The sequence below is a fragment of the Homo sapiens genome, chromosome 1 (genome assembly GCF_000001405.40).
Source record: "Homo sapiens chromosome 1, GRCh38.p14 Primary Assembly".
Classification (NCBI taxonomy): domain Eukaryota; kingdom Metazoa; phylum Chordata; class Mammalia; order Primates; family Hominidae; genus Homo; species Homo sapiens.
In genome coordinates this window covers 14,283,485-14,311,457 of record NC_000001.11, presented here as the reverse complement: position 1 = coordinate 14,311,457, position 27,973 = coordinate 14,283,485, and the positions used below count along the sequence as shown (strand labels likewise).

Sequence of the window (27,973 nt, the reverse complement as noted above, 5' to 3'; positions counted from 1 at the left end):
TAATGGAGGAAATTGCCTTCATCATGGTTATAATATAAGGGGATTTCTAAGCATCTTATTGGGAACTTATTGTAAGATAAAGCTTTATATCATCCTCTCATTGAATGATCCCAATGACTCCACAAAGTAATTTTTATTATGCCATTGTGCAGGTAAGGAAGCCAAGACATAAAGAGGTCAGGTTCAATATCTCATAGCTAATAAGTGGTAAGGGCTAGACTCAGATCCAGATCTATCTGAATGCAAAATCTTGCTTGCTCTTAACCCTCCATGATATTCCTTTTCTCTTCTTCCTGTGGTCCAGCAGAGAAGGCTGGACCTGCAACTCAATCAAGGATGACAGCAGCATCTCCTCTTGAATTTCTCTCCACAGTTACCAAAGGCTTTCATATTCACCTCAAATATTTACTGAGTGACAGAATGATTCACAGAAGCTCCAAACAGGTCATCTCATCGACAGGACAACAACTCTGATGGATCTCCAGTGGAACTTCTAAAACACCGCCCCTCATGTCCAAACCAACATAGTTCATTGTTGTGGGCTTCCTTTGGTGCTGGACTTCTCAAAATAGTTGGCTTCACTGCCAAGATTGGGTATCTCTGTTGTGACAATTTCACTCCAACACAGCATTTGTGATGCATCCTTTGGAAAGAGATGGGGCTGCCAGGCCTTTCATAACAAAACCTTCTTTTTCCTGGGAATTCTTAAATGTGGCAGTGAGCAGATGTGTTCGCAGAGCCTCTGAATGCAAGCACAGACGAAACGCTCTGCATAGAAATTGCGAGTAAACTTCACAACTGGGGAACATAAAGATCTTTTATTTGCAGAAGTTGGAGATTGCAATTTGAATGTGTGAAATTGCCAATAGTCTGGTACATACGTCGGCCCACCAGCAGCCTTCAAAGGGAATTGAGACCATTTTAAAAATCAGTGAGGTAGGCAATGCGTGGGCGTGTGTGTTTTCCACGGAACCAATAGAGAGATTTATGCTAGATGCAAAATACTCTTTAAGTCATTGAGTACAAGAATGGGTCATTAGGAAGGTGGTGGACTCGTTTTAACCATCCGAGGCCTGCTGGGAGTTTTCTAATCTGTTTAGAATCCTCTGGTGGCTCCATACTGCCTGTGGAAAGAAATGCATTTTCTTTGGTCTGGCACTTTCCATTCTGGCTCCAACCGTATCTTCCACACCTTCCTTTTTTGCACCTCATTCTCCAGAAAGATTCCAGTGACTCCTACTTCCCTGGACATGGGCTCCATTTTCTCACCTCATGTTTCTGCTCACACATTGCCTGTAATATCCTTCTTCCCACTGCCATGTGTTCAAAGCCAACCTTTCTTTCAAAACTAGGAGTCATCCCTGACTCCTGCCTTTCCCTTGCCGCCCGTTGCTCCAACCCCATCCAATGCCATTGGCAAGTCCTGATAGCTGTACCTCCAAAATATTATTATCTCTTCCTGCTGCTTCATCCCTTGTCTAGTAACACCAGCTCTTGCCTAAAGAACAACAGCTGCTTTCTCTCTGGTCTTCCTGCTTTGAACTTGACTTGTGTCCCTGCAGAATTTTTTTTTTTTAATATAAATCAGGCCAGGTGCAGTCGTTCATGCCTGTAATCTAGCACTTTGGGAGGCCAAGGTGGGAGGATCCTTTGAGCCCAGGAGTTCAATACCAGCCTGGGGAACATAGAAAAACCCCATCTCTACACAATTTTTTTTAAGAAAGTTAACTGGGCATGAGCCTAGTGGTGTGTGCCTGTGGTCCCTGCTACTTAGGAGGCTGATGCAGGAGGATTACCTGAGCCTGGGAGGTGGAGGCCACAGTGAGCTGTGATCACACCACTGCACTCCACCTGGGCCACAGAGTGAGACCTGGTCTCAACTGAAAACAAAAAAATCAATTAATGCCATCTTCAGTGGATTCCTGTAGCATTAGAATCAAATCCAAATTCCTCCCTGTGGCCTCCAAGGCCCCTGTAATCTGGTCCTGGCCACTGCTGTGACCTCCTCCCATTCCACTCTGTCTCTGGTCACTTCACGCTGGACACTGAGGTCCTCTGCTGTAGTAACTGAAAAAATATCCATATCTCATTTACCTACAATTCCCCAACAGCATCCTGTGTGGTGCCTTATACCTAGTAAATATAAATCAATTTTTATTAATTGATAATTCTCTGACTTAAAATTGAAGTTTTAGATAAATGGGTGGCATCTGACAAAAATCTAACCATCAATTTTTTTTAAAAGGGTTGCTTATCCTGTTGCAATTTTGGGATATCCCATTTCTTCTTCTAGCCTAAATTCCAGTTATTGTTCTGAGATTCCTGAAACTTTCAGGCAGCTGCCATTTGGAAAAATAAATGCCCAAATCAGGCAAACCTACAGGTGGCATTGCTCTAGGAAAAATGAGGAGGCTTAATTAGCAATGAGACTCCACACATTTTGACTGGGCCAAAAATATCAGGCTGCCAATTTTTCATTAATTCTTGTTAAACACATTCGTGCCCTTTGAGGACTGCATGTATTTGATGAACTGGCTTCCAAATCTAATAACAATTTGCTCGTCTTTAGAGCTGCACCCTGGAAATAATCTGACAGACCAGGAAATCATACACAACAGGCAAACAGGAAAATATCAAAGAAATTGGTAACCACTGACCTTCACCCATACTGATGACTGAATGCTTATGAGGCACGAGGTTCTAGTCTATGCGTATTAGTTCATTCAGGTCTCAGAAAATGCTAAGAGGTAGGTACTCTATCATCTCCATTTTGCAGGCAAGGAAACAGGCACAGAGAGGTTGGGTATGTTGCCCAAGGTCACACAGCCAGTACTTGGCAGATCCAGGATTTACACCAGGCAGTACAATTTCAGTACCTACACTTGCAACTGCTACTCTATAACATTTTGCAATTTTTAATTTTGATATAACTGAAATTCCAGAAAAAATACAAGAATTGTTCATGAAACTTCTATATAACTTTTACCCAGATCCACCTGTTTTTACTTTGCTGTATTATTCTTTGCATATATTTTACATAGATATGCATATTTTGTTTTCCTGACCCAATTAAGTTGGAGACCTTGTGCCCACATAACCCTAAATATTGCAGTATGCATTTCCTAATATATTCTCCTATATAATCTCAATAGTTATCAAAAATCAGAAAATTTAACATTTTCATAACAATACTATCTAACTCACAGTCCATATTCAAATTTCATCAATTGTCCTAATAATGTTCTATATAGCTATTTTTTTTCCCCTGGTTCAGGATGCAACCTGAAAGTACACATTGCAATTAATTGTCTTTAATCCAGAGCCTTTAGTCTCTTTTAATCTGGAGCAATTCCTTTGTCTTTCTTTGTGTTTCCTGAACTTGATAATTTTTAAAGAACACAGGCCAGTTTTCTGTGACATGTTCTTAATGTTTTCTCATGATTGTGTTCAAGTTACACATTTTTGGCAGGAAGACCAGAATGATGTTGTATCCTCAGCGCATCACAGTAGGAGACATGAGATGTTCTGTTGTCCCAATATTGATGATGTTGGCTTTGATCATTTGGTCAAGATTGTATTTGGCAGTTTGCTTCGATGCAAAGTTACTATTTCTTCATTTGTAGTTAATAAATGATTTGTAGGGAGTGGAACTCTGTATCCACTCTATTTCTCATCAAACATTCACTCCCTACTTTCAGCATCCTGTGGTTGCGACCCACTACGCGTTACTGCCTCTTTGTATATGAGGGCTTGTTTTCCAACTCAAAGGTGAGAAGCATTGCTCAGATGGAGACTCTGTCTTGGGCAGCTATAAACAGAAGTGTCCCACAAAGATCAACAGCACTGTCTTTGGGGTTACATAGGCTAGAGTTCAAGTTCTGGTACTAGCATAGATAATGGTCTTGGAGGAAGTCCCTTAACCTCTTTGAGTTTCAGTTTCCACGTCTGTAAAGGAGGACAATGATAGTATCTCCTTCCACAGAGTTGTAGCATAGGTGTAGACATGACCTAATGTAGACAGTGTCTGGACCATAGAAGTGTCCACCATAGCTGTGTGATTATCATGAAAGGGAGAAGCAACCCAAAACATCAGGGCTGAAACGACTTTATAATTAGCCAATAAGTTCATGCCAGTTCTTGAGTGTCTAGGATGCCACTGGGAGGGTGTGAAAAATGGTGGGGAAGCACATGGGTGAATAAGTCATGCCCAAGGCAGAGTGGACTGTTATCTTAGACAGGTGCAGAGGGTGTCAGGTGTGGGAAAGAAGTGATTCATTTCAACAGGTGATCAGGCAGGACTTCACGAGGAGGCAGTGGCATATGAACTTGTGGGACCACGAAGGGTCAACATCACTTTATGAAATCCCCCTCTGTGTACTCTGCTTTCTGCTGGGTGCTTTAGGGGTTGACTGAATGTAAATGAGATTAGCAGATCCCAGAGAACAAATGAATGGGAACCACTGGTAGAATTGGACGTCACTCATGACATCAAATAAAATGGAAAGATTGGGGACACGAAGATCAAATTTTGTTATTTTTCACACCTAAGCCTCTGATAGGAGCCAAATGCCTGAAGAACAAATCTTATCTTGTCTTTTAAAGAATGAACTTTGATTGTGAAGGCGTCTCTGTAGGTAGAGCCCAGGAACTTTGAGATGCTGCTGGTTTGGAGCTAAATTTGGCAACTTCTAGGCCCTGTCTGGGCAGAGCTAATCCCACCAGCTCACCCATCACCTCATGGTCTGCGATTGGCTGCTCATTATTCTGAACACCCTGGGCTATGTCCTGTCACCTGTGGTCAGGGGTTGGGGCCTGGTTCACATCATGGTAGAGCAGAAGGTATTGCCTTTCAAGAAGTAGCCCAGCACTGCTGACTTTCACAGCAAGGACTGGGTAGTTTTTCATAGCAGAGTCTTATGACTGTCCAGGCCCAGATAGGTTAGAATCAGGAAAGAGCAAAGGGAGAGAAAGCCCACTCCACCCTGAGTTCATGTCCTTTCTACTGAATCATCCCTCTCCATAGTTTCTAAGTGGCCTGTTGGAGAGGCTGTGAGTCTGTCACATTGGCCCTGAGTGGTAAGGATCACAAAGCAATGGCCAATTGCATTTGAGCTCATGCGTGGTCCACGGACCTTCAGAGTCAACCCCAATACATTGGCCTTTACCAAATACCCTTTCAGAGAGCACATCAGGGGAGCAATTGCAGAAAGAGATAGAGAAATATGGGGATTTAATTTTTTCACAAAGCACTTTTGCCCAAGCTGTGCTAATGTTCTCCAGTGAAATACTTTTCAAAACAATCCACCAAAAAATGCGACAACACATTCCATTAACGATGTCTGCCTTCATCTCACCCAGGGCCACAACAGCCAGCCAAGCAATTTAATGTCTTCCAACAAAAATTGTTTCCTCCCTGGACTGGGGAGGAGGCTCAGTGATCAGACAGGAAAGATGAGAGTGCTTTCCAGAGGGAAGGACAAGGTTCGTGTTTTCTAAACTCTCATGGGGTTTCCAGAAGCATCAAGAGCTTCTCTACCCAATCCTGTTAACATCAGAGCCCCTACCTGCCAAACCTAAGGTGCTTCTGATGCATTTTTCTTAGAGCAGAGCAAACATATGTGAGCCATAATCGTAGAAGCAAAGGAGATTAAATGCCTTGCCTCTTACCATAGATTATAAGCCTGTTAAAAACAGACCTGAGGCCTGTTCATCTTTATAATCCTGGTTCTTAGCGATACCCTGCCATCCAAATGATCAGTGAAAGTGTCATGAATTAAAAAAAAAGAAAACAAAAAAAAAAGGGAGAGCAGACTTCCCTTATGTCATTCCCCAGAATTCAGATAGCCATATGCCCTAGATTAACTGGGGTAATCTTGAGTTCAGATCTTTCCTTTCCCTGTCTTCAGAATTAATATTGTCTTGACAGCTGATGCATCCTGTATTTTGGTTCAGCAAATGGGCATGTTTGATCTTGACTGCAGGATCGTATTTGCTTGTTTTTTTTCCAACCTTTTCTGGGGTCACAGACCTCTTTGCAAATCTGGTGAGAACTAGGGATCTTCACTCCCTAAAAATGCAAGTGTATACATGTTCAAATGTTTGAATTCAATTTTAGGAAGTTGTCAGGCCCTCTAAAATATCCTTAAATTCCAAGATATAATCTGCTTCTGTAGGGTTGATATCATGGCTTGCATTTTATTCCTCCAACAGTGAAAGCAGATTCTGCTTTCGACATGGGTTTAACTGAGTTGGACAAGGTGGGAGAGACGATGGCAGTCTTTTCCTCAGCTGACTATTTTCTAGCTAGGAATGCTGAATTCAACCCAGGTTACAAAACCGTAGCTGATGCAGAGGAATGAAAATGCAGCAGACATATCCTTTCTAAAATTTAGGGATGTGTGAGTATGTGGAAAAGCAGAGGAGACAAGTTGTATTATTAATTTTTTAAAATGAGAATCCTTTTCTCAAAGGCCCATAGATCTATCTTCTTATTTAAAATTAAAAAAAAAAAAAAACTAGCTTTGGCTGCAGAGCAATCATGCTTCTTAAGGCTTCTAAAAGAATGTTCTGATGAAAGACGACACAGTCCTAGGGCTTCATCAACATCCACAGCTGACATCTCTGTTATGAGTTCCAGGAGCTCGGTGAACTGTTCAAGAATGAACGGAAAATGCAAAAGTAAATTATGTCATGCCTTAAGACTGTGGTGTGGTAATGCCACATGTACTAGAAAAGAGATTTCGAGTGGTTATACGAAACTCAGATGTACCCCTGGGAATGCATTTGAAGCTCACCGGTTTCAGAAGCCTGCTGGATCATTGGAAATGCATTGAAATGAATTCATTGTCCATGTGTTTATGGATGACTTCTGAAAGAAAAATAGCAATGTTTGACATAAGGCCAAGAAATAGACCAAACTTCCTCAGAACGGAATGTGATTTTAGCAAGCTTCCAAAATTCCAGTTGCTCATTGAAGCTTAGTGAAGATAGTCAGACCTCGTGGGATGGAAATAGAGGCTGAACAGCACACAGAGATGCAGAGCCATCCTGTGAATATTTTGGTCTAAGCTGGGGTAAGTCCTTTTCTCAAGGTCCTGACCAGGTCCTTAGGAATATGCTGAGCTTAAAACCCTTCCCTTTAAGTTTTTGAATCTCAAAGAAAAGTGTCCTTTGGAGATGTTGGATGAAAGTTGAACATCGGTAGGTGAAACTCTTTGAGCACTTTGCAAACTACTGCAGCCAGACAGCTCTTTGCATGAATTCTGAACTGAAGAATGTCATTCAAATTCTTCTGGGCCCATTTTCTACCACTCCAAAAGGAAATGCCCAGAGGAAGGGAAGCCTTGGGAAAACAGAAATATTAGGAGGAAGCTGTGATTTCCAAATGGCAAGACAGCCCCACCATCAATACTTGAAGTTGGTAAGGTAAGAGCTATTTAGCAGAGTCTAAAACAAGCTCGCTAACATTTTGAGAGTCGGGTATACTCTGGAGGAAGGGTTGTTTATTGAACATTCTCCTTGTCTCTTGAGATAAATGACGCACTGGAGAGAATGAGGATTTGAGGAGTTTATTGCTTATATTTGCATTGAAGAGACCAGAGTCAGATAAATGGAAAAGAGAATAATGCAAGACTTGTGGATGTTGGATTCATAAAAAAGAAAGCAAATGAAAGCTGGAGATGCCTAAAAAAGACTTCTTATATGCCATGAGAGATAAGGTAATCTTGAAGGATGGACAGAGTTTGGATAGGCATAAATGGGAAGGGAGAATGATGTAAGCAAAGATGAGCCTTGTTCATTCTGGGACCAACTTGGAGGACATTTGAGAGCCTGGAGGACATATGAGGGTCAGGGTTCATACTTTGTTGTGTATCAGAATGATGACCTAGACAGCCTCTTAAAAGTGCAGATTCCCGTCTGGGCGCAGTGGCTCACGCCTGTAATCCCAGCACTTTGGGAGGCTGAGGTGGGCAGATCCGAGGTCAGGAGATTGAGACTGTCCTGGTTAACACGGTGAAACCCAGTCTCTTCTAAAAATACAAAAAAATTAGCCGGGTGTGGTGGCAGGCACATCTAGTCCCAGCTACTCAGGAGGGTGAGGCATGAGAATCACTTGAACCTGGGAGGTGGAGGTTGCAGTGAGCCAAGATCTCACCACGGCACTCCATCCTGGGCAACAGAGTGAGACACACCTTTGTAGACTCTGATTTCATGGGTCAAGGCTTGGGCTCAGAGATCTGCATTTCTAACAAGCGAGCCAGATGATTTTGACACAGCTAGTCCATAGACCACACTTTGTGAAACACCGACGTCTACTTCCTCTTGGCTTCTTTGTTTAATCATTAAAAGCACCAAGCAGGGATAGGGTCCTAAGAAGGTTGAGTCTAGAACTTGAAGAAAAATGTACCTTCAAGAGCTAAAGCAAGATGGGATGTGAAAAGCCAGGACACACAGGCAAAGACATAACAAAAATGCAGTGAGCTAATATCACATTCAATCTTGTTCCCACCTTGCTGCAGCCTCCACCCAGGTAACCCCAACCAGTTCCAGGCTAACACTGAACCCCATCAAACCATCCTTCTTACAACTCACGTCGCTCAACCTTAAACAAAACAAGGCAAGGGGAGAGGTGGCTCGTGGTGATCAAGAAGTAAGATACAATTTTACCTTTGGTTTCTATAGATTTATGACCTATATGACCTTCCCCATAAAAGCACCTATGAGTAGCTGTCTTTTGCCTTTTTTGGAGATCATAGACTGTTTTGAAAATATGATAAAACCTCTGATCCCTCTTCCTAGATCATTGTATATGGACACTTGTACACACCATTTGCCATGTAATTTCATGGAGTCCAACAAAAATGATCAGCTAACACATTCTTGTTACACCTGGAATCTAACCTTTATTCTTAGAGTTTCCTGAATGTTAGACAATTTCATCCACTCAACCTCTGGGCAGGATACATGTCTGTTTCAGTGTTATTGACACATATCTCGACTCATCTTTGAGATTCCATGTGTATTGTCTTCTGAGGAAATATTCAGAAACCCCCACTTGAGACACCTACTTGCCTGTTCACTTGGGCTCACTTCTTCACGTCCTTTGGTGCAAGATGGGAGAGGCTATACCTGCTTCCACATTATGTTCTGCGTTGATTTGAGAAAAAGTGACAACTTCATTATAGATCTGTCTGTTCTCTCCAACTCTTTGCTATGACTCAAGGGACTGCAGCTCCCAAACTTGTCATTCATTACAACCATAGCATTTAGTTGGAAAGGTTTCAGAGGAAGCTGTCAGTTCGGAAATAGAGAAAGATATTATCAATAAAAATTGGTCCTTGTTTTTCCCTATGCATCTTCCATTTTTTCCACACATTTATCCAGGTACCCATCATGTATCCAAGTGCCAGATCTTGCACTAGGTAGGTGGAAATAGTGAAGAGGAAAACCTCAGTTAGACCTTAGAGTCCAATTGGGAGCGGTAGATATTAAATAAGTATAAAAGTAACTAAAATGATTACAGATGCTACAAAGGGAAAACAAGGTGATGTGATAGGAAGGAAGCGATGCAGGGGTCCTGCCTTTGGTAGAGTAGTCAAGGAAGGCCTCTCGGAGGAGGTGACTTTTGAGCCCAAGACCTGGAAGATGAGAATGGGCCAGTAGGGAAAGGAAGGAGTACCTTGCACTTGACAAATCCTCCACAGCTAGGACCTGCCTCCCGTGAATGCCTGCCAAATGTCTTCTATATAGAACAGGCTGGGGCAGTCATGATCAGAAGAGTTTTCTGTGTTTAATGCATGCTTCCTGCTGCTGGCATATGTCTTCCCTCATCTGCTGACAGGCTTGTGAAGCCTCAAGCCAAATTTCCCAACAGGCAGAGCCGCCTTGTCAAAGAGGAAGGCGGGTGCCAGCGCCTCACATGAATCACAAGATCAGACAGATCCCTGTAGTGGCAGGCTGGGGTACATTCAGAAGGGGTGTGTCTACACTACCCCGGTGGCTTGCCTTTGAGAGCAGCCAAAGTCAATCCCATCATGCAAACCTGTAGATGATTTTCCCCAGCCGATGGGACTGGGGAGTTAGAGGAAGGAATCCGCAGGTTTGAAGAAGGGAGAGCCACACTTGTACAGGGCCTTTGGGCCAGAGAACAGTCAGGATCAAACTCTCCTCTACCGTGTCTGACTCGCAGATGCCATTGTCATCAGATAGAGCAAATGCAACCGGGTATGTGAATTCCAAGGAGTGTCTTCTTGGCTGCTGTCAACCTCCTGGGTAGAATGCTAAGCCCAGCTTTGTGAATTCCCTATGGTCTGGGTGTGTAACTCCCTAGGTTCACTGGGCCATGAGGCTGAGTTTTCCATACAAGACATTTCTGTGGAATCTCTTGGTTCAGGCTTCATTGTTCCAACATGTGGATTTCACCAATCCTTGCCAAGGCTGAGTCTGACATAGGTATAAATGTGGTTTCTTTCCCAAGACTCTGAGAGCCACAAGCTTGCAGAATTCAGGCTAGGTCTCTAGCAGGGGACACACCTCCACACCCAAGTTCCACAATGACTCTACCCTATACCTACCCCTTGGTTCACAGGACAGATGGTGTTCACAGGTAGGATACGTCCTAGGGATGCACTCAGAGTCTGATGATACGCCAAACTGATTTGTAGGGGAGAAATCCCTTTTGGTTCCTCGGAAAAAGTGTTGCCAGATCTGGTGACTGAGCCACCTGCATATAAACCTAACCTGTCTGCCTTTCTCTGTTAACATGGCCACTATCTCAGTCAGGCCATTGTGTCTCATGTGCAGTGTGCTTCCTAACCTGTCTGTTTCCATTTTTGCACGCTTTTGATTGATTTTCCTCTGTGCAGCTAGAGGGACCTTTTGAAAGTATGTTTCAGATCATGTTGCTCTACTGCCTAAAATCCGGCTGAGCACAGTGGCTCATGCCTGTAATCTCAGTACTTTGGGAGGCTGAGGCAGGAGGATCCCTTGAGCCCAAGAGTTTGAGACCAGCCTGGCTGGGCAACATAGGGAGACCTCATCTCTACAGAAAATTCAACAATTAGCAGGGCATGGTAGTGAGCACCTGTGGTCCCAGTTCCTTGGGAGGCTGATGTGGGAGGATCACTTGAGCCCAGGAGGTCAAGGCTGCAGTGAGCCGTAATTATGTAAGACTCTGTCTTAAAAAAAAATAAATAAATTCTTCCATAGCTGCCCATTAAACTTGGAATAAAGCCCCAAATGCTAACGAGGCTCCGAGTCCCTGCAGGATCCTGTCCTAGGGTGCTTCCCATATCCTGCTCTCCTCCTTCCTCAACACACTCCAAACATATGTGCTACATTTCCAGGATGACCCCAAACACTTTCCTGCCACAGCACCTTTGCGTTTGTGAGACTCTCTTCCAAGTACACCATTCTCCTCTAGTCAGGACTGGTTTCTTGTCAGCTCCAATATTCCCCCTCCTACCCCCACAAAAGGCCTTTCCCAACTAACCATGTTATATAACAAAGCCTCCCCACCCACCACTGTAATTGCCTTAATGCTCATGATAGAGGTGATTTTTGTTGGGTGAGTATTTTCTCTCCTTTCCCTGTACACTCCCTGTTCTGCTGACTTTGGGCTTGGCCATGCGACTTGCTTTGGCTAATGAACTTTAGTAAATGTGATGTGAGCAGAAGCTTTAAATGTGTTCAGATGACTGGGTCTGCCTTCTTGAACTCCTGCTAATCTCCTTGAGAAGAACATTACCTAGGTGCCGCCAGCTAAGGAGGATGGGAGGTACAGAGTGAGTGTGATCTGTAGCCCAGTGGAGCCCAGCAGAACTATGGGTGCGACATCTGCTGTTGCAAGCTCCTGGGCTTTTAGAATGGTTCGTATACAGCATTATTCCAGCAATGACTGATTAAATGCAGTGCTTTATCACAGTCTAATTCTTTTCTTTTCTTTTCTTTTTTTGAGACAGTCTTGCTTGCTCTGTCGCCCAGTCTGGAGTGCAGTGGTGTGATCTCGGCTCACTGCAACCTCTGCCTCCTGGGTTCAAACAATTCTCCTGCCTCAGCCTCCCAGGTAGATGCGATTACAGGTGCATGCCAACACGCCTGGCTAATTTTTGTATTTTTAGTAGAGACAGGGTTTCAGTATGTTGGCCAAGTTGGTCTTGAACTCCTGAGCTCAGGTGATCCACACACCTCGGCCTCCCAAAGGGCTGGGATTACAGGCATGAACCACCACACTTGGCCTAATGATTTTCTTTATTTGTTTCGTTTCTTATCTGTTTCCCCCACCAGGTTGTAAATTCCATGAGAGTAGGAATCATGTTTGTGTTTTCCCTGCTGTATCCCAGAACTGAGGATGGTGCTTGGCACACAGTAGTAGCTCAATAAACAGCTGTTGAATGGGTAGATACTCTGTAACCACTGAACTATTCTGGTTGCATTAACAATAGCCACGCCACCTGCCACCTCCTAACGGCACAGGCAACACATGTTTACGTATGCTCATTGTCCTGCTCACAGGCCAGACTACCACGCCTGCACTTCCTCTAGGTAAAGCAAGCTGGAGTGCCAGTGAGAGTGTAGTGTAGGTAGGGAAAATGTTGAATTCACTCCAGTTTGTTAAAAGGAAAAGAATAAATCATTTGTATACTCTATTAGTAACCCATTCTATGTCTGGCACTTCCTACCATGGCTGAGAACTGCCATTCAAGTTTAATAAAGGGGAAATTGACTCTCTCCCCCACATTTCCAAAGATTTCGAGTTATATACAGAGAAATAACAGCAAGCTAATAACACTGGCTTCATGTGCCAGGTGTACTTTCATTCCTTTCCAAACTTTTAGTCTGCAAACTAAAAATAATACCTGAAGTAATTAAATGAAAACTAAGAGAAATGGAGAACATGCAGAGATATATATCAAAAGAACATTAAAATCGTACACTTGCATGGGGGGAGGTAGGAGAAATGGTTTACAAATCTAAACTCATAAAGGAAAAGAACTGCATTGTGTTCAACATAAGTCAAATGAATATCTTCTTTCTCCATCAACAGTCTAATGAGTTTTTATACACAAGCCATCTTGAGTTTCATCATGAAAGAAGACAAGGAGGAACACAGGGGTGATTTCATGAATGACAAGGGCTGTAATATTTGGGCTGATTTTTGGATGATTTAGAGGGAAGCCCATTTAAAATGGCCTCCTTTAAGACAGAGCCAGTTTAACCAATTTACTTTTTTAAGACACCGGGTCTGAATCTGCTACCTAGTCTGGAGTGCAGTAGCATGAACATGGCTCACTGCAGCCTCGACCTCCTGGGTTCAAGCAATCCTCTGGCCTCAGCCCCCCAAGTAGTTGGGACTACAGACATGCGCCACCACACCCGGCTAATTTTTGTATTTTTTGTAGAGATGGGGTTTTGCCATGTTACCCAGGCTGGTCTCTAACTCCTGAGCTCAACAATCTGCCTGCCTCGGCCTCCCAAAGTGCTGGGATTAGAGGCGTGATACCGCGCCCAGCTTCAATTTAACCAATTTTCTATTGGTTTCCACCATGTGTTGGCCATTTGAATCTGCCATCCAGGGCAGCAACTCCTACTCTTGATGTCCCAACCCAGGGAGGCATCACAAATAATTTCTTACTCATCATAAGGTCTTAAGTTTGTTCAGGGCTTACATTATAATTTGCCCAAATTTAATGTAACTTTAAGCAAATTCAAGGCTGTTCCTCTAATGCTTGCTTTCTAATGAGTAAGAGTGAGAAAGAGGAGATGGGGTTGTAGGTAGCATTGGGGAGGGGGCAGTGACACACTGACAACTGCATCCCCTAGGGTGGATGGTGGAGAGAACAGTGCCCATCCATCCGTCAGCAGAGTCCCAGCAGGGAAAATGTAAAGGATCTTGCAGGGGGCAGGTGTGGGGGAGGGAGCTGATCTGAGCCCAGGAGCCCTGCAGCTGGCTCTCCCAAATCACTCTCAGCCCTCTTCTCCTTTGCCTGTCTCTACCGCAGAGGCTGCAAAATAAAAAGGTGAGTGTCCCAAGTCTTGCTTAGAGCCAGGGAGTGACCAAGTGATACAGTTCTGGCCAATGAGACTAACGAAAATCAGTTTTTGCTTTTCTGATAAGACAGGATGGACCCATTCATGCCTCCCTTTTGCTGTTTTTCTGGCTTGCAATAAACATGGTATATGGCATAAAAACACGGCACTTATCTTTTAACCAAGGCAATGATTTGGGAGAAGATTCAGAGAACTTCAGGGACACAGGCCCTGACAAGGATGTGCCACTGACCACAGCTGGCAACTGCCCACCTCTGGCTTCTTGTGGGGGAGAAAATAAGCCCCTCTATGTAAGCCCAGGTTTTCTGTTCCTTGCAGCTGAATGCATTGCTAATTGATACATGACTCAGCCAGAGGGCCTTGGCCTCTGGATAATCCCAAAGCATCATGACATGTCACACACACACACATGCACATATGCACACAAATATACACAGAGAACTGTGCTGTTCTTTGTGCATAACGATAACATGACTCACCTTTTAAGAATGAAATGCCACATGCCTGTAATCCCAGCACTTTGGGAAGCCGAGGTGGGTGGATCAGGAGACTGAGACCATCCTGGCCAACATGGTGAAATCCCGTCTCTACTAAAAATACAAAAAAGTAGCTAGGCATGATGGCGTGTGCCTGTAGTCCCAGCTACTTGGGAGGCTGAGGCAGGAGAATTGCTTAAACCCAGGAGGCAGAGGTTGCAGTAAGCTGCGATCATGCCACTGTACTACAGCCTGGGTGACAGAGCAAGATTTTGTCTCAAAAAAAAAAAAAAAAAAAAAAAAGAAATACAAAAACTCAGCCCTACATTATGCCAAAAGTAGTGTAGTTTTCAAATATGTGGTCAGAATAAGGCTCACAGCCCATGGTCATGAACAATAATAAGGGCTCATGCTCCCTGAATGTGGACCTTGAGGTAGGCACCAGGCAGGAACTGAGCTCGTCACAGTGTGGGCAGTAACAGGCCCATGAGAAATGTACTGAGGCTGGCAGAGATTAAGTCACTTGCCACAAGGCTAGAAAGTGTAGACGTGGGGTTTAGGCCCAGACAGGCTGATGCAGAAGCCTAATCTCTTACCCACTGGGGCCTTTCTACGGAGGAGCTGAAATAATTACATTGTCACGTCTGTAACAGCAAGAAAAGGCCCTAACCCACCACTGCAGCATTTGCCTGAAAAGTTGACCCACATGCAGTGATGGTAGTAATAACAGTAGTAGCAGCTACCATTTATTGTGTCTTCTTTATGCTAGACATTCATTCATTCAATAATGATAGCTTACACTCACATGGTATGTCCTCTAAGCTTGGCACTACTTTCAGTGCTGTCCCTATACAAAGTCATTTAATCCTTATGGCAACCCTATGAGGTAGGTACTATGATTTTATGGAAAACTGAGGCACAGAGAGGTGAACTTGCCCCAGGTCACACAGACAGAAAGTAGTGAGGTCAGAATTCCAAACTGGGCAATCCACAGTGCGCTGGGTGATGCCAATGTAGTTCCTATGCATGGAGTATCTGTTGAACTCCAGAAGAGGCAGACAGTACCCCGTGATCTAGCTAAGGAGTGTATAACTGCAAACCAAAATAAGCAACATGAAGGAAAGAAATGGGGTTCTCTGCAATTGCATAGCCAAGAAATCTGATGTCAGGAAGGAATCCCTGAGAAAGTGAGCTGAGATCTCAAAAATGTTTGGGAATTAACTAGGTATTGGTGTATCTGCGCATGTGTGTGTGTGCATGGGTTTGTGTGTCTTTCCCTAGGTCTCTCTGCATGCCTATGTGTTTTTATGTCTCTGTGTGGCTCTTTGGTGCACATGGGTTTGTGTGTCTATAAGTGTGTGTCTTTTCCTGGGTCTCTCTGCATGTCTGTGTGTGTATATGCCTCTGTGTGACTCTTTGGTGCGTATCTCTGAGTCTCCCACTTTCTGCATGTGTGGTTTTTTGTCCCGAGTCTCTTTGGGTGTGTGTGTCCTTGTCTTTCTTTGTGTCTGTGTCTCATGTATATGTGTGCATGAGAGGGAGAAGCTGGGAGGGTCCATGTTTCTGGCAGCTCATGGGAAGGAGAGGCAGAATATGCAAAGATCTTTGAGAAGGAAAGACAACTGGACATTTGAGTCATTGAATAAGAGTTACTGAAGGCCATGTGGCTTGAGCCTAGAGGCAAACATGGCTGGAGATGAGACAGAAATGTCATCAGGGCCTGATAGCCATGACTTTGTGGTTACAGTAAGGGTTGGGGGAATTGGCTTGAGAGCAAAGGAAAGCCATCTGATACATATTTGTCCACCTTCTCAACCACCCTGTGAGTTAAATATCATTAACCTCATTTGATGGATGAGGAAACAAACTCAGAGAGGTTAAACTGTTTGCCTAAGGACACACAGCAAGAAGGTGATTGAGCCTGTAGATAAGCACGGGTCTGACTCCAGAGCTTCCTCTCATTCCATCACATCAAACACAGCCATACTCCCTGGGGACCTCTGTGTCCATAGCTGCTGAAAAAAAAAAAAAAGATCTGAATGAGCTTGGCCAAGGAGTTATGATTCCTGAGGGCTCTCTATGACCTAGGCACTCTAGAGTTGGTAAAGAAAAGTTGTTCTCACAGATAGTTGCTTCATAAAGCACTCATGAGTGAAATATATAGAATTCGTGGGGTTTTAGGCATTTTATATTGGTGGTATTAAAATCTACTTGGCCTGATTTTCCAGAAGTATAAAACCTGAGCCTGGGCAGTTTCCCTGGCAAAAACCCTGCCAGGGAAACTGCCCAGGCTCAGGTTTTATACTTCTGGAAAGAAGAACCCCCATCTCTTAGACAGAGTCAGGTAGACTGGTGTGAATTTCAGGTCTTTCCTTACTAGCTGTCTGATGTTGGTTAAGTCACAAAACCTCTCTGATCCTCAGTGGCCTCATCTGTTAAATGGGAGAACAGTAGCTTGCAAGGATGCCATGGGCTTCATCTGCAGAGCTTAGCACTATGCCTGGCATATGGCATGTACCAACCATGACAGAAGCGATTAGTGTTTTTGAGACTGCAGTATATCTGCAAGTGGGTCTCCACTCCTTGGATGGAGAACCCTAAACCCAAGGACCTTTGTGTGGTGAGTAGGGAAAAGCAGGTCTATTGCACAGCTTTGCGATGCCTAGGGAATTGCTGGTGTGGTTGCTTCTGTTTTGGAGATGCATCAGTGACACACAAGGCATAAGGCAAATTTGCATGATGCTTAGGGAAGTTGGCCCTGGGCTCAGAATGCACGGGTTCTTCAGGCTGTGCCACTTACTACTTGTGTGACCGTGGCCAAGTTCGCTCATCTCTCTGAGCTTTGGTTATCTCATCTGTAAATGGGGATAAAACTGGTAAGAAACTCCCTTATCAGTTTATGGTGAAGAGGAGAAAAGTTAGTTCATGTAATGCACTGAGAGCCCTATCAGGCAGAGTGAGTATGCATGGGGTTAACTTCTATTGTGATTTTATGGGTCTGTTGGAAGAGAGTCTCTGCTTGGGAAAGCAGAGGTGGACAATGGACTTGCTATCTTCAGCCCCTCAGAGCCTTCCCAAAGGCTAACCACCTTGGGGAAACTGAGGCTGTATATGGAGGAGTTAGATGCTATATGCTGTATTCAGAAAGACGGCTTGCTAATAGCAGCTGTTGCAGGGGTTGAGAGAAGATATTAACCTTGAGCTTGGAGACCCCAACAAGGCTAGTCAATGGTTTAATCTGGGATCTTTTTTTTTTTTCTGTACACCTATGGTGTTTTCTGGACACATCTAACATGCTCATGAAAATTGAAAGAGGGACAGGAGAGACTGGTATAAAGAATGGACCAAGACCAGGGGCTCAGAGTGACCTCACAAAGAAGGAAAGGCACAATGTCGGTATCTTCCAAATGGGTCGTGATCCTGTTGGGACATGGCAACACCAGCAATGCCAGAAAGGGATTCAAACTTGATTGATTAGAATGCGAATTTTCTTAAAGAAGAAGGAGGGAGAGATGATGAATAAGAGGCAGAGGAAGAAGAAGAGGAAGAAAGCACAGAAACTAAAGATTTAGCTGTTCGTGCTGAGGGAAAATGCCAGATGCGGACATGTCATTTACAGTTTTAGTAATTTGCATCATTCATGGTGGCCCTAGAACATAGAATCTCAGGTTTGAAGGGGAATTTCATGAATATTTAAAATCTAAATATTGGTTCCCTTCGGGGCTGGAGAAATTTGGGAGAAAATTTTGGCTATTCCACTTAGTAGTTGTGTGATCTCCAATAAATGACATTGTCTGTGACTCTTTCCTTGTTTGCAAAATGGAAATGAGGCTGCCACATTTTCATGAGGCTTAAAGAAGACAACCAGTTTGCACAGGGCCTGGCTCACACTTGGTCCTCATGCATGTTAGTTCAGTCTTCACCTCTCCACGCCCACTTCACCAGCATGCTCAGTGCTGACCAGGATCTGTGAAGTCTGCCTAATGATATTGAACTGTACATGCCTGTGGTATTCCTCTGGCCTTGCTAAGCTGCCTGCAGTTTTACTAAGAATCTTCACATTTACAAGAGCAAAAGCTAAGGCTGCAGTATCAGCTTCAGGGGGTTGGAGGAAACAGGTGCACTGAGAAGGAAGCCGCTCTCCAGCTCATCCATCAGATGTGTGAGCCTGCGGCCAACATGAGAAATGATGCACCCCCTCTTCCATGCACCAACACGCAGATGAAAAAGGAAAGGTGGGGAGGCGGGAGCACATTTATCACCCAGAGCCTGCCAGCTGGGCCTTGTCTCTGCACCTCTGCAATGAGGCGAGGTAGAGCCGGCCATGGGGGCAGCTTCAGGCAAGTCAGATGCCTGCAGTGGGGTGGCGCATCAGCACTGCACCTGCCTTCACTCCCTGGACATGGATCAATCCCTGCCAGCCCCATCTACCACCACAAGGACTCCGCCTATCCCTATATCTCGCAGCTCCTCCTCCCTCCTCCCAGCCTGCATGATTACTGAACCAAAGCCTTGGAAGGGTCCCCAAGCAGAGGAGGCCTCTGCTATTTGGGCGATTTTTCCAGAGGCCCCCCTCCAGGGGACCACACAGCATCTCATTTCTCCCTCTCTGTGTTCTCTACCCTGAATACTGCCAGAACAGAAAACAGCTGAGCTGATCAGAAGACAAAAGATGTGTGAACTGCAGGGTGAAGCACACATATTGCTTACTTTCATTGCTTCTGTGACATGACAGCACAGAGCAATGTCAGCAGACAAAACTATACGCACATATGACATACACACATACACAGAGCATACATACAACATACTATAAGTCATCACTTAATGTTGCCCCTAGGTTCTCGGAAAGTGTGACTTTAAGCAAAAAAATTACAGGGGGTCTGTATTAGTCCATCCTCAAGCTGCTATGAAGAAATACCCGAGACTGGGTAATTTATAAAGAAAAGAGGTTTAATTGACTCACAGTTTTGCATGACTGAGGAGGCCTCAGGAAACTTACAATCATGGTAGAAGGAGAAGCAACACATCCTTCTCCAAATGGCAGCAGGAGAGAGAACTGCCAAGCACAGGGGGAAAAGCCCCTTATAAAACCATTAGATCAATCGATTCGTTCCAAGATGGCCAAATAGGAACAGCTCTGGTCTGCTGCTCCCAGTGTGATTTATGCAGAAGACAGGTGATTTCTGCATTTCCAACTGAGGTACCTGGTTCATCTCTTTGGGACTGGTTGGGCAGTGGGTGCAGCCCATGGAGGGTGAGCTGAAACAGGGCAGGGCATCACCTTACCCAGGAAGTGCAAGGGGTCAAGGGATTTCCCTTTCCTAGCCAAGAGAAGCCATGACAGACTGTATCTAGAAAATTGAGACACTCCCACCCAAACACTGCACTTTTCTAAAGGTCTTAGCAAAAGGCACACCAGGAGATTATGTCCCATGCCTGGCTCGGCAGGTCCCACGCCTATGGAGCCTTGCTCACTGCTAGCACAGCAGTCTGAGATCAAATTGCAAGGCGGCAACCTGGCTGGGGGAGGGGTGTCCACCATGCTGAGGCATGAGTAGGTAAACAAAGCGGCCAGGGAAGCTCGAACTGGATGGAGGCCACGGGAGCTCAGCAAGGCCTATTGCTCCTGTAGATTCCACCTCTGGGGGCAGGGCATAGCTGAACAAAAGGCAGCAGAAACTTCTGCAGACTTAAACATCCCTGTCTGACAGCTCTGAAGAGAGCAGTGGTTCTCCCAGCATGGTGTTTGAGCTCTGAGAACAGACAGTCTGCCTCCTCAAGTGGGTCCCTGACCCCCATGTAGCCTAACAGGGAGGCATCTCCCAGTAGGGGCCGACTGACACCTCATACAGGGAGGTGCTCCTGTGGGATGAAGCTTCCAGAGGAAGGATCAGGCAGCAATATTTGCTGTTCTGCAGCCTCTGCTGGTGATACCCAGGCAAACAGGGTCTGGAGTGGACCTCCAGCAAACTCCAACAGACCTGCAGCTGAGGGACCTGACTGTTAGAAGGAAAACTAACAAACAGAAAGGAATAGCACCAATATCAACAAAAAGGACATCCACACCAAAACCCAATCTGTAGTTCACCAACATCAAAGACCAAAGGTAGATAAAACCACAAAGATGGGGAGAAACCAGAGCAGAAAAGCTGAAAATTTTAAAACCCAGAGTGCCTCTTCTCCTCCAAAGAATCTCAGCTCCTGGCCAGCAATGGAGCAAAGCTGGACGGAGAATGACTTTGACAAGCTGACAGAAGTAGGCTTCACAAGGTCGGTAATAACAAACTTCTCCAAGCTGAAGGAGGATGTTCAAACCCATCGCAAGGAAATTGAAAACCTTGAAAAAAGATTAGATAAATGGCTAACTAGAACAAACAGTGTAGAGAAGACCTTAAATGACCTGATGGAGCTGAAAATCATGGCACAAGAACTACATGAGGCACGCACAAGCTTCAATAGCCAATTCGATCAAGTGGGAGAAAGGGTATCAGTGATGGAAGATGAAATTAATGAAATAAAGCAGGAAGAGAAGTTTAGAGAAAAAAGAATAAAAAGAAATGAACAAAGCCTCCAAGAAATATGGGACTATGTGAAAAGACAAATCTGTGTTTGATTGGTGTACCTAAAAGTGACGGGGAGAATGGAACCAAATTGGAAAACACTCTGCAGGAAATTATCCAGGAGATAATACCCAACCTAGCAAAGTAGGCCAACATTCAAATTCAGGAAATACAGAGAACACCACAAAGATACTCCTCGAGAAGAGCAACCACAAGACACATAATTGTCAGATTCAGCGAGGTTGAAATCAAGGAAAAAATGTTAAGGGCAGCCAGAGAGAAAGGTCGGGTTACCCACAAAGGGAAGCCCATCAGACTAACAGCAGATCTCTCAGCAGAAACTCTACAAGCCAGAAAAGAGTGGGGGCCAATATTCAACATTCTTAAAGAAAAGAATTTTCAATCCAGAATTTCATATCCAGCCAAACTAAGCTTCATAAGTGAAGGAGAAATAAAATGCTTTACAAACAAACGCTGAGAGATTTTGTCACCACCGGGCCTGCCTTACAAGAGCTCCTGAAGGAAGCACTAAACATGGAAAGGAACAACTGGTACCAGCCACTGCAAAAACATGCCAAAGTGTAAAGACCATCGATGCTATGAAGAAACTACATCAACTAACAGGCAAAATAACCAGCTAACATCATAATGACAGGATCAAACTCACACATAACAATATTAACCTTAAATGTAAATGGGCTAAATGCCTCAATTAAAAGACACAGACTGGCAAGTTGGATAAAGAGTCAAGACCCAACAGTGTGCTATATTCGGGAGACCCATCTTATGTGCAGAGACATAGGCTCAAAATAAAGGGATAGAAGAAGATCTGCCAAGCAAATGGAAAGTAAAAAAAAAAAGGCAGAGTTACAATCCTAGTCTCTGATAAAACAGACATTAAACCAACAAAGATCAAAAGAGACAAAGAAGGCCATTACATAAAGGTAAAGGGATCCATTCAACAAGAAGACCTAACTATCCTAAATATATATGCACCCAATACAGGAGCACCCAGATTCATAAAGCAAGTCCTTAGAGACCTACAAAGAGACTTAGACTCCCACACAATAATAATGAGAGATTTTAACACCCCATTGTCAATATTAGACAGATCAATGCAACAGAAGGTTAACAAGGATATCCAGGACTTGAACCCAGCTCTGCACCAAGCAGACCCAATAGACATCTACAGAACTCTCCACCCCAATCAACAGAATGTACATTCTTCTCAGCATCACATCACACTTATTCCAAAATTGACCACATAGTTGGAAGTAAAGCACTCCTCAGCAAATGTAAAAGAACAGAAATCACAACAAAATGTCTCACAGACCACAGTGCAATCAAATTAGAACTCAGGATTAAGAAGCTCACTGAAAACCACACATGTACATGGAAACTGAACAACCTGCTCCTGAATGACTACTGGGTACATAACGAAATTAAGGCAGAAATAAAGACGTTCTTTGGAACCAATGAGAACAAAGACACAACACACCAGAATCTCTGGGACACATTTAAAGCAGTGTGTAGAGGGAAATTTATAGCACTAAATGCCCACAAGAGAAAGCAGGAAAGATCTAAAATGCACACCCTAACATCACAATTAAAAGAACTAGAGAAGCAAGAGCAAACACATTCAAAAGCTAGCAGATGGCAAGAAATAACGAAGATCAGAGCAGAACTGAAGGAGATAGAGAGACACAAAAAAACCCTTCAAATAATCAATGTATCCAGGAGCTGGTTTTTTGAAAAGATGAACAAAATTGATAGACCACTAGCAAGACTAATAAAGAAGAAAAGAGAGAAGAATCAAATAGACGCAACAAAAAATGACAAAGGGGATATCACCACTGATCCCACAGAAATACAAACTACCATCAGAGAATACTATAAACACCTCTAGGCAAATAAACTAGAATGTCTAGAAGAAATGGATAAATTCGTGGACACATACACCCTCCCAAGACTAAACTAGGAGAAATTTAATCTCTGAATAGACCAATAACAGGCTCTGAAATTGAGGCAATAATTAATAGCCTACCAACCAAAAAAAGTCCAGGACCAGATGGATACACAGCCAAATTCTACCAGAGATACAAAGAGGAGCTGGTACCGTTCCTTCTGAAACTATTCCAATCAATAGAAAAAGAGGGAATCCTCCCTAACTCATTTTATGAGGCCAGCATCATCCTGATATCAAAGCCTGGCAGAGACACAACAAAAAAAGAGAATTTTACACCAATATCCCTGATGAACATCGATGTGAAAATCCTCAATAAAACACTGGCAAACTGAATCCAGCAGCACATCAAAAAGCTTATCCACCATGATCAAGTTGGCTTCATCCCTGGGATGCAAGGCTGGTTCGACATATGCAAATCAATAAATGTAATCCATCACATAAACACAACCATCAACAAAAACCACATGATTATCTCAACAGATGCACAAAAGGCCTTCAACAAAATTCAACAGCCCTTCATGCTGAAAACTCTCAATAAACTAAGTTTTGTGGAACATATCTCAAAATAAGAAGAACTATTTATGACAAACCCACAGCCAATATCATACTGAATGGGCAAAAGCTAGAAGCATTCCCTTTGAAAACTGGCACAAGTCAGAGATGCCCTCTCTCACCACTCATATTCAACATAGTGTTGGAAGTTCTGGCCAGGGCAATCAGCAAGAGAAAGAAATAAAGGGTATTCAATTAGGAGAGGAGGAAGTCAAATTGTCCCTGTTTGCAAATGACATGATTGTATATTTAGAAAATCCCATTGTCTCAGCCCAAAATCTCCTTAAGCTGATAAGCAACTTCAGCAAAATCTCAGGATACAAAATCAATGTGCAAAAATCACAAGCATTCCTATACACCAATAACAGACAAACAGAGAGCCAAATCATGAGTGAACTCCCATTCACAATTGCTACAAAGAGAATAAAATACCTAGGAATCCAACTTACAAGGGATGTGAAGGACCCATTCCTAGGTGCATTATGCCCAGGTTTCTGCTGTGGCCTCACTGGTCAGAATAGTGTCACATGATTACCTCTAGGTGCAAGGGAGAATGAGAAAATAGATGAGTGCAGAGAAAGACAAGTGGGAAGGGAATCAGAAAAGGCAATGGATGTTGGGTGAACCAGCCTACAGTATCTGTCATAAAATGTAAAACGGTGTCAAGGTAATGGAACTAAATGTCTCTAAAAGTTCTGGAGGTCAGTGGATTTCCCTAACCCGTGGCTCCTATTATCATAGGCTCACCTGGAGAGCATGAAATCTCACTCACTTTCCAAGTCATTAGCTGGTTTTACAAGCACTAATAAAAATATTAGCATATACAAAACTCAATTGTAGTTCCAACTGCTCTCATCAAATTAAATTTTCCCTCAATTCATATATGGCTTCTTAGGAGAAATAGGCTCCTCTCCCCACACACACTATAAAGTAGTTGAATTTCATTAGCACAGTTTACATAAATGTGTGCAGCCAAGATTATGAAAATAGCCACAGGCCTACAAATTTAAAGACTAAAAATTAAGACTAGCATACAGAAAATTCAAGTTATGAGTGTTATAGTTCTAAGCACCCCACCAAGAAAGTCAGGTGAATTTTGTGTTACATCAAGAATTTGGGCTACCTGGGGATGTTAATCTAGGGGACCTGGGTATGTCTACAAAGTGGGCTTAGAGCTTTCTTCTGGAAGCTGCATAGCTGCAGAGGAATTATTTATACATAATTCTAAGACTGAATTAATGGTATTAACAGTATGAGGTGAGAGTTGTAGATAGTGTGTAATAATGGCTAATATTTATTAAGTGTGACTGTACTAAATGCTGTACATGGATGGTCTAATCCTTACAGTAGTCCTAGAAAGTACCTCCAGTTTACAGATGTGAAAATTCAGAACTGGGATTGCAGAGCCTGACCTCTTGCCTGGCTTGTCCTTAGTGCCACTTGAAGTCCTGACCCTGGGGAACTCAGAATGTAACTGTATTTGGAGATAAGGTCTTTAAAGAGCTAATTAATTTAACATGAGGTCACTAGGGTGGGTCCTGATCTGATAGGATTGGTGTCCTTGGAAGACAAGGAGATAAGAATGCAGAAACACACAGAAGAAGTGTGTAGACACGGGGAGAATGTAGCCATCTACAAGCTAAAAAGAGTGTCTTCAGAAAAAACCAACCCTACCAATGCCTTGATCTTGGACTTCCAGCCTCCAGAACTGTGAGATGACATACTTCTGTTGTTCAAGCCACGCAGTGTGTGGTACTTTTAATGGCAATTCCAGCAAACTAATACAGACATGGTCCTTGTACTTAGCCTGAAGAGAAACTAGAGCATTGAGCAGCGTAAGAGAGGGAACAAGGGTGTAGTTCTTGAGCCCCTGTGCATTCTTGATATGGCGTCTTTAGTCTTAACCATCTATCTCCTGTGATTGCTTAGAAGCCCACAGACAGGCCCACGGCCACAGCCAGTACCAGGCTCTCGTTGCTGACTCCAAGTCAGCTCTTGGATGATCTCCCACACCACCATGCCGTTTACTTGCTGTAGTAGAAGGGGCTACATTGCAGGATTTGCTATATAATCTGCAGGGCCCAGTGCAAAAGGAATATGAAGGCACCTTGGCTCAAGAACTATTAAGAATTTCCAAATGGTGAGATCAGAGCAATGGACAAAGTGCAAGGGCTTTCCAAGCACAGGGCCCTGTGCAACTGAGTGGGTCACATCCAAGGAGCCAGGCTGATGCCATGTTTGGGTATGGATAAAGTGGCGAGTAGGCATTGAGAGACAGCCTTCGAATTCCACAGGAAATACACAACTGTTGCAAAGAAGACAAACACTGCATGTGCTAGGTCAGGGACATTGGATCCACATGCTATCTCACCCTAGAGCACCAGGCTCCTGAGCCTCAGTCTTGGCCAGTTCTCAGGGCCAGATGTTGGGCCATTGTGCACAGATGTTAGGAAGACAGTTTTGCTCAGAGAGGAACCAATAGACTGCCAAAGCCTCCAGAGACTGGGATGTGAGGAGAATGTCTAGTGTTCTCTGTTTACTCTTTGTTCAAAGTAATAATAATTCTGAAAAGGATAATAATGGCCAATACTTATTGAGTAGTTTATATACACTAGGCTTTGTTCTAAGCTGTTAGTGAGATGGTTTTACTAAATTCTCCCAACAATCCTCTAAACTTGGGACTACTCTATGCAACACTTTACCGACTGGGCACTTGAGACAGAGAGAGATTAGGCCTCAGGTCACAGGTAATCAGTGGTGGATTTAGATGGAGACCTGTGTCTCCAGACCACATGCTTGAGTATTTAGTGTTGTTGCATTTTTTACTTTCAGCAACCCAGGGGGAGGAAAAGTACGTCCATGTTCTCTGGAGAGTAGGGGGCAAAACAAATGCTAACTTGGCACTTGCCAAGAGCCCAGAGAAAAGACCCAGTGTTTTGGGCTGTAGGGAAGATTTGTAAGAGTAAAACAGAGAGACCCATCTCTGGTACTAACTTGCCCAATAGCCTCACATGAAGCCACTTCGTTTCTCAATGCAGCAAATGAAGATGACAATTGCTGACGTACTTACTTCTCAAGGTATGTGTGATGATCCTAAACTCCTGATGACATTTGTCACTGTCACCTGGGCTGCTCTATGGTCTCCCAGTGGTCCTTTCCTTTCCACTCTACCTTCTGTCTGATCCATTCTCCATGCTGCAGTGAAGCCCAATTTTTCATAAAGTAAATCTGACAGTCATTTCCTGCAAACAGTTTCCCTTACTCTGAGAATAAAGACAACACTCATTTTCTGGCCTGCAAAGTCCAACAGAATCTTTCCCCTATTTGCTGTCCATCATCCTCTCACTCCTTGCTCTCCATCCCTTTCTAGGTTTCAGCCCCACGAGTTGCCTTTTGGAACCCGGGGCTCACCACATTCTCTCCTGCCACAGGGACTTTGCACAGGCTGTTACGGCTGCCTGGGAAGCTCCTTTCCTCTCCCTTGCTGACTGCCACTTAGTCCTCAGCAACCAGCTCATGCATCACTTCCATTTCGTTTTCCTCTGTAATAACAACTTTATTGAGATATAATTCAAATCTCATACAATTCACCTGCTTAAAATATACAATATTTTTAGTATATTTACAGATTGCGCAGCCACAATCAATTATGCTAGAACATTCTTATCACTCCAAAAGAAACCCCTTATGCATTAAAAATCACTCCCCATTCCCCCCTCATTTTCTTTGCTCCCCCCAGCCCCGATCTCCCATCCCCACCCTAGGCAGTTACTGATCTATTTTCTCTATCTATGGGTTTCTGGTTCTGGACATTTTGTATAAGTGGAATCATATAATGTATGGTCTTTTGTGTCTGGGTTATTTCACTTAGCATAATGTTTCCGAGGCTCATCCACATTGTAGGGTGTATCAGTACTCATTCCTTTTTATGGTCAAACACTATTTCATTATATTGAAAGCTGACATTTTATTTACCTGCTTGTCAGTTGATGGACTTTGGGTTGTTTCCACTCGTTGCCTATAATGAGAAATGCTGCTATAAACATTTTTATACAGGTTTTCATACCTGTATATGTTAATGATGGATATAGGTCTTCAATTCTCTTGGGTACATACCTAGGAGTAGAATTTCTGGGCTATATGGTGACTTTGTGTTTAACCTTTCAAGGGACTGGCAGATTGTTCCCAAAGGGGTCGCACCATTTTGCATTCCCACCAGCAACGTATAAGGGTTCCCATTTTTCCACATCTTCAACACTTGCTATTACCTAATTTTTAAATCATAACCATCCTAGTGAGTGTGAAGTGGTATCTCATTGTGGTGCTGATTTTCATTTCCCTGATAGTTAACGATGTTGAGCATCTTT

At 43.7% G+C, this 27,973-nt stretch overlaps 1 protein-coding gene and 1 long non-coding RNA gene across 7 annotated transcripts in view; both read right to left on the bottom strand.

Annotated features, from left to right (window-relative positions):
• The window catches only part of KAZN (kazrin, periplakin interacting protein), a 1,225,220-nt gene that overhangs the window by 806,586 nt on the left and 390,661 nt on the right, over positions 1–27,973 (bottom strand). The window lies entirely within an intron of this gene.
• LOC124903847 (uncharacterized) lies at positions 115–27,944 on the bottom strand. Its single transcript, XR_007065475.1, has 3 exons — positions 27,723–27,944; positions 16,934–27,624; positions 115–16,764 (listed from the first exon to the last, which is right to left on the bottom strand). It is a non-coding gene; the product is annotated as an uncharacterized LOC124903847 (long non-coding RNA).